We start from the raw sequence: 11,748 nt of genomic DNA on the forward strand, positions 1-11,748 counted from the left end.
CCAGAGGCCTCCGGCGAAGTCATGCAAAATTCCTCACCCAGAGAAAGCATGAGATCCTAAGTGTTTGTTTTTCTGAGCTGCTATGTTTTGGGGTAAATGTATTATATGTCGATAGATAACTAATACAAGTGCCCAATGCACAATGATGTAAAGCCAGTTTTCTTGTCCAAAGTGGTGAGAAAGACCTGAAGACTTGTTGGTGATAGACGACAGGCAGAGAGAATGTCACTCGGGTTAAGGCAATGATGGTTCTTCATCTTGGGACATAGGCAAATGTCCCTGGAGTCGATGGAAAATCCTGGCAAGTCTGTAGGATTCTGCAAAGTAAAAAAGACTTAAGTCTTGCTTCTCAAGGAAGCAGAAAGCTTCCTAAAGAAAATAGTAGCTACTTCATTGAAATGACAGTAGGTAAGATAACAGCCAGTGTATCTAAGTCACGGGCTGGCAAACTTCTTCTATAAAGAGCCAGATGATATGTATTTTAGGCTGTGGGCCATATAGTCTCGGTTGCAACTCTAGTTGTAGAGTGCGGGCAGCCATGGACAAAATGTAAATGAATGGGCATGACTGTGTTCTAGTAAAACTTTATTTATAAACACAGGGAATGGGCCAGATTTGGCTCCTGGGCAATAGTTTGCCAACCCCTGGTCCAAGGTAGGAAGACTTAAGTCAAACCCCTGAATCTCTAACAGACCCAAGAGAAGCGGGAAGAAGCTGAGACAAACTGCTGGACCTGACCTCTCAGTGAGCGAGCAAAGGATGCAGAGAACCTGGGTGGACTGGAGCGCAGACCAGGATGTGAGCATTTCGCCACATCTGCAGTGGCAGGAGGACTGATGACCAAAGGCTAACTGGAATTGTAGATTTCGACATAAATCAGCATGGATAAACGTGGGAGGTCAAGGATTTCATCTTAGATTTTAATCTCTCCCTTGGGAACAATTTATATAACTTTGGTAATTCTGCATCCAAGTTAAATGCTCTTATATTTGCATTTAAAAGTGGCATTTTACAATACAAAGACGAATAGTGAAATTCATGTAAATAGCGAAAGAGAGAGTATCCTGAATTAACCGAACTCAAATCTCCACATCACTGAGTTTCTTTGAGTTTTCAAAATTTTTTTCCTCTATCATTAAATGGTAAGCGGAGTCTCAAGAACTAAGTATCAGTCATGGAGAAATAAAAAATGTGAATTTTTGCATACCTGAGCATTGTGATTATACAACATTTGTTTTCTATATGAATGTAAAGTTATTAAGAGGTAAAATCAGAAAGATCCAGACTTAGGAGTTGGAGAAGAGCAAAGTTTAGAGCACCTGAGTAGAAACAGCATTTCCTAGAGTTGTTTTTTTTTTTTTTTTTTTTTTGAGATGGAGTCTCACTCTGTTGCCCAGGCTGGAGTGCAGTGGTGTGATCTTGGCTCACTGCAACCTCTGCCTTCCAGGTTTAAGCGATTCTCCTGCCTCAGCCTCCTGAGTAGCTGGGATTACAGGTGCCTGCCAGTATGCCTGGCTAACTTTTGTATTTTTAATAGTAGAGATAGAGTTTTGCCATGGTGGCCAGGCTGGTCTCAAACTCCTGACCTCAGGTGATCTGCCTACCTCGGCCTCCCAAAGTGCTGGGATTACAGACATGAGCCACTGCACCCGGCCCTCCTATAGCTCTTGACTACATAATTTGAAGGCCCAATGCAAATGGAATGCAGGTCCCCCTTTTTAAAAGCAGGGGCAAACATGCTGTTAAAAGTAGTGAAATAGAAAAAGCTGTTTCCTGTTTTCCCTGATCTCTTTTTGAACTTGCCACGGTGTTTCATATTTGCTCTTTAATGTTGTTCTAAGGAAAGAAAAATTAAAATTTGCATTATTTACATGAATTTCACTGTTCATCTTTATATTGTACAATGCCACTTTGAAATGCAAACATAATAGCATTTAACTTGAATGTAGAATCATCAAAATTATATAACTCGTTCATAGTTTGTAAATGCATATATATTTTGTTCTCAACAGTACAGTAGAAATGCTGCACAAAACTAACTCAATTGTTTTTATTTTACTTTTTTTATTTTTTTACTTTTTTTTGAGATAAGGTTTTGCTTGGTTGCCCAGGCTGGAGAGCAGCAGTGGGATCATGGCTCACTGCAGCCTTGACCCTCTGGGCTCAAGTGATCCTCCTGCCTCAGCCTCCTGAATAGCTGTGACCACAGGCACATGCCACCATGCCTGCCTAGTTTTTTGATTTTTTGTAGAGGCGGGGTCTCGCTGTGTTGCCCAGGTTGGTCTTGAAATCCTGGGCTCAAGTGATCTACCCACCTCGGCCTCCCATAGTACTAGGATTACAGGTGTGAGCCACTGTGCCTGGCTATTTCACTGTTTGATATGCACACATTCTACCAACAGTCTCCACATTTTGCTTACTGATGCATAAGGAAGGACAGACAGAAAGGAAAAGGATTTATAGGTCGCATGTCTTTCCCTTTCCTTCTGTGTCATCATTTTCTGCATTAGTGGTTGACTAACAGGGAGGTAATGTGAGGAAGAAAAAATAGTATGTTCTGTATCTGTTTGCTGGGGCTGCCATAACAAAGTATCAACTGTGTGGCTTATACAACCGAAATTTACTGTCTAACAATTCTGGAAGCTGGAAATCGGAGATCAAGGTGATTGCAAGATTTTGCTCCCTCTGAAAGGGATAGGGAATGATCTTCCAGGTCTCCCTCCTAGCTCCTGGCAGTTGGTTGGTTTGTGGCAGCATAACTCTAATCTTCACATAGCATTCTCCCCGTCTGTGTGCTGTGCCCACACTGCCCCTTTTTCTAAGGCCATCAGCCATATTGCAGTAGGGCCTCCTATCCCGGTATGACCTCATCCTGATTTAATTGATCCTAATTACCATCTGCAAAAACCCTATTTCCAAATACGGTTTCATTGAGAGGTGCTCAAGGTTAGGGCTTTAACATATGATTTTTGGGGGAGCAAGGGACACAATTGAACCCACAGCAAGCTCTTTGGTTGTTTGGATGCCATAAAACGCTATTGCTTTCCTTCTGCTCTTGAAGCAAGTTGTGGTTTGAACAGAAAGCATGACTTCTCAGGGCTGTCAGTGTCTCCCGTATTCAGTCATAGACCTGAGTTTTGCTGAAGTCCCACACACCTTGGATGCACTGGAATTCTGTGCTCATTGGGAACCATGAACATTGTATGCAAACGTACTACCAAGGAACAGAGGCAGATACGCATATTTCATGTGTTTCCTGGGCTCTTGTGCATGCTCTACTGTCTCTTTGGACTTCACTTATAAAACCCAAGTTCAGGCCAGGCGCAGTGGCTCACACCTGTAATGCCAGCACTTTGGGAGGCCGAGGCGGGTGGATCCCCTGAGGTCAGGAGTTCAAGACCAGCCTGGCCAACATGGTGAAACCCTGTCTCAACTAAAAACACAAAAATTAGCCAGGCATGGTGGCAGGTGCCTGTGGCAGGAGAATCGCTTGAACCCGGGAGGTGGAAGTTGCAGTGAGCCAAGACTGTACCATTGCACTCCAGCCTGGGCAACAAGAGCGAAACTCTGTCTCAAAACAAAAAACAAAAAACAAACAAACAAAACTCCAAAATCCAAAACCAAAACACAATAAAAAACACCAAGTTCAAAGATAAAATTATGAAGATTGTAAGATAGCAATAATTGAGTATTAAACCAAGTATGGGGATCTTCTGAGCCTGGAGCCCTGTGCAACTTGCCTGGGTGGCTGTATGGCAGATACACCTGACAGCAATAACTCAATCATACCCTGAGAATGACCCTATGGTCTCGGAAGAATGTGTATTCAGAGCTCTCAGCTAAGGAATCCAGGAGTGGCCAACCCAGAAACTCACTCCTTATTTATAAGGCCATCTGAACCCCTAGGGCCCATCCCTTGGAACACATGCTGGACAGGGGATTGAGGCTCTTTGTTCTGGGTTAAATAGAAGTTGCCAGGTGGAGGTTCCTAAGTGAAAATGCCACATAACTTGTATGTTTTTTACAAACAAGAGCAGTTTTCCTGTCCAGCTCGCTGGTCCTGGACTGCACTGTTTATACCCTATATCTCGTTTGCCAGCTCCAGGTCTCTTCCTTGGCCTCTTGGACACGGTGCCATCCCTGCTGGCATCAACAGGGGTCTGGCATGACAGTCGCATATACACAAAGCCAGCTCTGTCAAGAACTGGGGCTCAGATCTCTTACCTGAGCTTCATGTCTTGTTCTATGGTACCCTAGAAATGTGTTGGTGATCAAATCCAACCATTGAAGACCTGGAATTCAGGGAGGGTAAGTGCCCATCCAGAGAGCCCAAGATGACAGGCAGGACTGGAATCCAGGTTTCCAGATCCGTGGCCCACTGCTTACTGTACCGTATCACTTTGCCACCTGCTTAGGCAGCAACCCCATTTGCTAAGAGTTAGCTCAGCATGAATGCCCCACTGCATGGAGAATCTTTGATGCTGCAGGACACTCAGATGTGTGTACGCTGAGGACAGACCTGCTCTGTTTTCTTATATGGAAATTGAAGCAAGTGATGTAATGGCTGCTGTTTCCCTTCTCTCATGAATCTTATGGCTGGGTTTAGGGCAATGAGGCAATGAGCAAAGCTGGGTTATTAGAAGGATGAGTTTTCCAGTTTACTACTCAGAGAAAAGCTTTGAACTTTTGGGGAAGCAAGGCGTCGGGGACCCAGAGGGTGGCTTTATCACATAGCAGGGGCACAATGCTTAGATCTGGCCCAAGGCAAATGGTCCAGTGATGGAATTGGTTTTTAGGATTGCTCTGACATTCCCTGGTGTCCTTCCTGTATCAGTCAACTTATGCTATGTAACAACCACCCCAGAACTTGGTGGCTTAAAACAAGGGCCATCCATTTAGCTCCTGACTCTGCGGGTAATTTGGACTGTGCTCCAGCGTGTCTGGTCCATCTTGTTCAAGCATTTGTGGCTAGAGGCTGGGGCTTGCTGGCTTAGGAAGGATCAGGGTGGTTTTTGACTGCAGTTTCCCCATGAGGTCTTACTCAACTTCCAGCGGCTAGCCTGGCCTTGTTCCCAGGGTGATAGCAGGGTTTCAAGCCCTGCAAAAAGGGAAGCTGTCAGACCTGTTGGGACCTAGGATTGGAACTTGTCCAGTGTCCCTTCTGTCATACTCAATTGCTCAAAGCAGGTCACAAGGACATCTCAGATTCAAGGGGTGGGTAGACTTCACTTCTTTTTGGGAGGGGCTCTGAAGCATTGTGGCCATCTGCAATCTACCAGTGCCTTCCACCCAGGCCTACTAAGAGTACCTGTCCTTGGTCTCACCCATTTTTTTTTGTCTTCTCCCTGTTATTCCAGGGCTCTTTATTCAGGATTTTTTTTTATGGGAGAGATCCAGCTTATTTTAGAAATAATTCGTGCCAGGTAATAGATAATAGAAGTGAGAGTACTAAAGGGTTACTTTAAGACATTCCTGGTAGTAGAAGTTCTGGGCTTTTAAAAACTCTGTGACTTAATTCAAGTCTGTCTTTTTTTTTTTTTTTTTTTTTTTTTTTGAGACTGGGTCTTGATCTGTCACCCAGGCTGGAGTACAATGGCACTATCTTGGCTCACTGCAACCTCTGCTTCCCAGGCTCAAGAGATTCTCCTCCCTCAGCCTCCCGAGTAGCTGGGACAACAGGCATGGGCCACCGTGCCCGGCTAATTTTCTTTTGTAGAGATGGGGTTTTGCCATATTGCCCAGGCTGGTCTTGAACTCCTGAACTCAAATCAATCTGCCCACGTCGGCTTCCCAAAGTGCTGGGATTACCACACCCAGTCATCAAGTCTGTCTTAAATTCTCACTATCATGAAAATTATCTTGGGAGCTTGTTGAAAATATAGATTCCCAGATTCCATCACAGATGTACTAATTCTGTATTTTCTGGAAGAAGCCTGGGCTTCTGTGTATTTTCAAGCTTCCTGGCCATCAGGCCATCAGCTTCCTGTGTTAGTTTGTAAGGATGATGCCTATCCTTATTCAGACCCCTTGAAGTTTACAGGTGCAGTCACCCTTATAATTGCTCATGGACTCACTTCCTGGATGGCTCTTTTGATTAGCTGGGATTTGGAAACACAGGCTTATCTCGAAAGTATAAGAAGCAACCCCACAAGCAGACAGGGGAGGTGTTTGATTCTTGAGGCTCCTGGAGGAACGGACCGTGTTCTATTTATTTCTCTGTTCCCACGGAGCCGGAGAGCTATCATCAGATTTGAGGTGCTTACCATGAATTAATTGGAGCTGTGGTCCTCACAGGGTGGCTCATGTTCCAGTAGCATCTGCTTTCCTGGGAACAAGCTAGAAATGCAAATTATTGGACCTCACCCCAAGCCCTTTGGATTAGACATGAGATGCACATGGGAGGGGGAACTCAGGGCTGGGGAACCTGATAACCATTTGCACACACACAAACGCGAAGGGACCACCCCGCCCTTGCTGGAATGAACATGTTCCAACCAGCTCAACCTGCTTGCCCTTTGGGAGAGTCTACCTGTGGCCGCTGAGATCTTTGAGCAAGGCTGCCCTGCGACCCTTGTCACCTGCGCTAACACACTCCACAATTCTTGCTTCTGAACTCTGGACAGGGCAGCTGGCCCTGCTTATCAGTCAAGGTCTCCGCGCCAATAGCAAAATGATGGTTCCTGCTGGGTGAATAGAGCTTTTAAGTTGGTGTCAAGATTTTTCCTCCTTGCGTGAAAAGCTTAAAAAACTCCTTGCCTTAGGTGGAGTGCTAAGGGCATAGGAATTAAAAGGGAATTGGCGTGAGGGGTCACCATTGCTGCAGAGTTTCAGGCACACACTTAATTATTAAAGTGCATACACACGACATGCACATACACACCCCGCACAGCTGGGGCAACAAGTTCCTTGTTCTTTGAAGCCAAGTTCCACTTCACTGTGGTTTCCTGGAAAGCTCTTAGCAAAGAAGGGCATGGCAGGTCCTTGTCATCCAGACTGGGCACAGGAGTTTTTGTTCCCTGGGCCAGAAGGCCAACGAGAGAGGAGGGATGTGTAAGAAGAGAAAAGAGCTTGGCCTGGACATTCCAGCCCTGGATATGTCACAAATCTTGGAGCGAGTTGCTTCATGTCCCTGACACTCAGCTCCTTCTCTGTGAAATGGAACATATATCCAGATTATACCTTCCCCTAAAACATTTTGGAAGATGCTTATAATTTGAGTACTTGTCAAGTAGAAGTTAGAAATATATAAACAGAAATGAGGAGTTTCTTAGGAGAATTGAACAGAGATTAATGGCAGGGAACTGGATTAGAAAATCTGTACATTAAATTAGATCCTGAGACCTTGGACATCCTGGGAAGGCCTGGAAGAGGTGGACCCGAAAGTTCTTTCTTGCCCAATCAGGTTAAAGAAAAAATGGGAAGAGAGTGAATTGAGGGTGCCGGTGGGGCTTGGGCTAGCCCATGATGACAGAGGGGAAACATGGAGTCACAATAAAACTCCTCCCCTCCAATCCCCATTCTTTCCTGCTATTCATCTGACTCTGAGATTCCCTGAAGTCCCCCTATATGGTGGCTTTGCTTGGCTTTTGTTGGGGGATGCTGCAGTTAAGCATGAGAGAATTCAGACTCCCCTCCTGAATTCTCACTAGTGAGCTCAGGGCATGTTTCACTGCTACGCTGGCGTTGTACTGGTGAATGCAATTCTGCTTATTTATGGGGTAGGTTTTCAGATGGGGCTTCAAATGGGAAACGAATCTTTCAACTTGAAGAAGTACAAAATGACCTACTCTTTGCTTACTGTGCAAATGAAAAGGTGAGGGATGCTCTTAATGGGTTAAACAGTAAAGAAGCCAGAGTGGTGGAGACTTGCTGGAAGAGGCTGAATGGGAACAGGGGTGCCTCCACATTCTAGTCTGTGCCAAAGGCCATGCCTGGACAAGACAACTGTGAAGGGGAAGGACAAGGCGTGGGGTGGGGAGTTTTTCTACCAGATAGCAAGACCGAGGTGAAGCTGGAGTACAGATGAAGAGTGTTGGCGCAGGTAACTAGGTCACTGGCACAGGAGGGAGAGGCCAGACACAATTCCATGCACGCGTGGTGAGCATTACAGAGCGGTGGGAAACTGGGCATTTATCAATAATATGTTTTTATTTCTTGGCAATTGGTTATTAATATGGAGAATAATCAAATGAGATTCCTAACATGTGGCCTAAAGACCTAATTATGGAAAGACTTAAATATGAAACTTTAAATACAGTTATAAGAAAATAGAACATCTTTGTAAACATAATGTTGAAAAGAATTTCATAGTATTCCAAACTTGCAAACCACAGCGAAAATGGAAAAATTTGATTTGCATTAAAACAAAACGTGGTTGTCAAAAGTTACCTTTAAGAAAATAAAAAGATAACTCACAGGAAGAAATAAAGAATTAATATCTAGAATACATAAACAACTTCTTTTATTTATTTATTTATTTATTTTATTTTATTTTATTTTTTTATTATACTTTAAGTTTTAGGGTACATGTGCACATTGTGCAGGTTAGTTACATATGTATACATGTGCCATGCTGGTGCGCTGCACCCACTAACTCGTCATCTAGCATTAGGTATATCTCCCAATGCTACCCCTCCCCCCTCCCCCCACCCCACCACAGTCCCCAGCGTGTGATATTCCCCTTCCTGTGTCCATGTGATCTCATTGTTCAATTCCCACCTATGAGTGAGAATATGCAGTGTTTGGTTTTTTGTTCTTGCGATAGTTTACTGAGAATAATGATTTCCAATTTCATCCATGTCCCTACAAAGGACATGAACTCATCATTTTTCATGGCTGCATAGTATTCCATGGTGTATATGTGCCACATTTTCTTAATCCAGTCTATCATTGTTGGACATTTGGGTTGGTTCCAAGTCTTTGCTATTGTGAATAATGCCGCAATAAACATACATGTGCATGTGTCTTTATAGCAGCATGATTTATAGTCCTTTGAGTATATACCCAGTAATGGGATGGCTGGGTCAAATGGTATTTCTAGTTCTAGATCCCTGAGGAATCGCCACACTGACTTCCACAATGGTTGAACTAGTTTACAGTCCCACCAACAGTGTAAAAGTGTTCCTATTTCTCCACATCCTCTCCAGCACCTGTTGTTTCCTGACTTTTTAATGATTGCCACTCTAACTGGTGTGAGATGGTATCTCATTGTGGTTTTGATTTGCATTTCTCTGATGGCCAGTGATGATGAGCATTTTTTCATGTGTTTTTTGGCTGCATAAATGTCTTCTTTTGAGAAGTGTCTGTTCATGTCCTTCGCCCACTTTTTAATGGGGTTGTTTGTTTTTTTTCTTGTAAATTTGTTTGAGTTCATTGTAGATTCTGGATATTAGCCCTTTGTCAGATGAGTAGGTTGCGAAAATTTTCTCCCATTTTGTAGGTTGCCTGTCCACTCTGACGGTAGTTTCTTTTGCTGTGCAGAAGCTCTTTAGTTTAATTAGATCCCATTTGTCAATTTTGGCTTTTGTTGCCATTGCTTTTGGTGTTTTGGACATGAAGTCCTTGCCCACGCCTATGTCCTGAATGGTAATGCCTAGGTTTTCTTCTAGGGTTTTTATGGTTTTAGGTCTAACGTTTAAGTCTTTAATCCATCTTGAATTGATTTTTGTATAAGGTGTAAGGAAGGGATCCATTTTCAGCTTTCTACATATGGCTAGCCAGTTTTCCCAGTACCATTTATTAAATAGGGAATCCTTTCCCCATTGCTTGTTTTTCTCAGGTTTGTCAAAGATCAGATAGTTGTAGATATGCGGCATTATTTCTGAGGGCTCTGTTCTGTTCCATCGATCTATATCTCTGTTTTGGTACCAGTACCATGCTGTTTTGATTACTGTAGCCTTGAAGTATAGTTTGAAGTCAGGTAGCGTGATGCCTCCAGCTTTGTTCTTTTGGCTTAGGATTGCTTTGGCGATGCAGGCTCTTTTTTGGTTCCATATGAACTTTAAAGTAGTTTTTTCCAATTCTGTGAAGAAAGTCATTGGTAGCTTGATGGGGGTGGCATTGAATCTATAAATTACCTTGGGCAGTATGGCCATTTTCACGATATTGATTCTTCCTACCCATGAGCATGGAATGTTCTTCCATTTGTTTGTGTCCTCTTTTATTTCCTTGAGCAGTGGTTTGTAGTTCTCCTTGAAGAGGTCCTTCACATCCCTTGTAAGTTGGATTCCTAGGTATTTTATTCTCTTTGAAGCAATTGTGAATGGGAGTTCACTCATGATTTGGCTCTCTGTTTGTCTGTTGTTGGTGTATAAGAATGCTTGTGATTTTTGTACATTGATTTTGTATCCTGAGACTTTGCTGAAGTTGCTTATCAGCTTAAGGAGATTTTGGGCTGAGACAATGGGGTTTTCTAGATATACAATCATGTCGTCTGCAAACAGGGACAATTTGACTTCCTCTTTTCCTAATTGAATACCCTTTATTTCCTTCTCCTGCCTCATTGCCCTGGCCAGAACTTCCAACACTATGTTGAATAGGAGTGGTGAGAGAGGGCATCCCTGTCTTGTGCCAGTTTTCAAAGGGAATGCTTCTAGTTTCTGCCCATTCAGTATGATATTGGCTGTGGGTTTGTCATAGATAGCTCTTATTATTTTGAAATACGTCCCATCAATACCTAATTTATTGAGAGTTTTTAGCATGAATGGTTGTTGAATTTTGTCAAAGGCTTTTTCTGCATCTATTGAGATAATCATGTGGTTTTTGTCTTTGGCTCTGTTTATGCGCTGGATTACATTTATTGATTTGCGTATATTGAACCAGCCTTGCATCCCAGGGATGAAGCCCACTTGATCATGGTGGATAAGCTTTTTGATGTGCTGCTGGATTCGTTTTGCCAGTATTTTATTGAGGATTTTTGCATCAATGTTCATCAAGGATATTGGTCTAAAATTCTCTTTTTTGGTTGTGTCTCTGCCCAGCTTTGGTATCAGAATGATGCTGGCCTCATGAAATGAGTTAGGGAGGATTCCCTCTTTTTCTATTGATTGGAATAGTTTCAGAAGGAATGGTACCAGTTCCTCCTTGTACCTCTGGTAGAATTCGGCTGTGAATCCATCTGGTCCTGGACTCTTTTTGGTTGGTAAACTATTGATTATTGCCATAATTTCAGCTCCTGTTATTGGTCTATTCAGAGATCCAACTTCTTCCTGGTTTAGTCTTGGGAGAGTGTATGTGTCGAGGAATTTATCCATTTCTTCTAGATTTTCTAGTTTATTTGCATGGAGGTGTTTGTAGTATTCTCTGATGGTAGTTTGTATTTCTGTGGGATCAGTGGTGATATCCCCTTTATCATTTTTTATTGTGTCTATTTGATTCTTCTGTCTTTTTTTCTTTATTAGTCTTGCTAGCAGTCTATCAATTTTGTTGATCCTTTCAAAAAACCAGCTCCTGGATTCATTAATTTTTTGAAGGGTTTTTTGTGTCTCTATTTCCTTCAGTTCTGCTCTGATTTTAGTTATTTCTTGCCTTCTGCTAGCTTTTGAATGTGTTTGCTCTTGCTTTTCTAGTTCTTTTAATTGTGATGTTAGGGTGTCAATTTTGGATCTTTCCTGCTTTCTCTTGTGGGCATTTAGTGCTATAAATTTCCCTCTACACACTGCTTTGAATGCATCCCAGAGATTCTGGTATGTTATGTCTTTGTTCTCGTCGGTTTCAAAGAACATCTTTATTTCTGCCTTCATTTCGTTA

Source organism: Homo sapiens, chromosome 4 (genome assembly GCF_000001405.40).
Source record: "Homo sapiens chromosome 4, GRCh38.p14 Primary Assembly".
Lineage (NCBI taxonomy): Eukaryota > Metazoa > Chordata > Mammalia > Primates > Hominidae > Homo > Homo sapiens.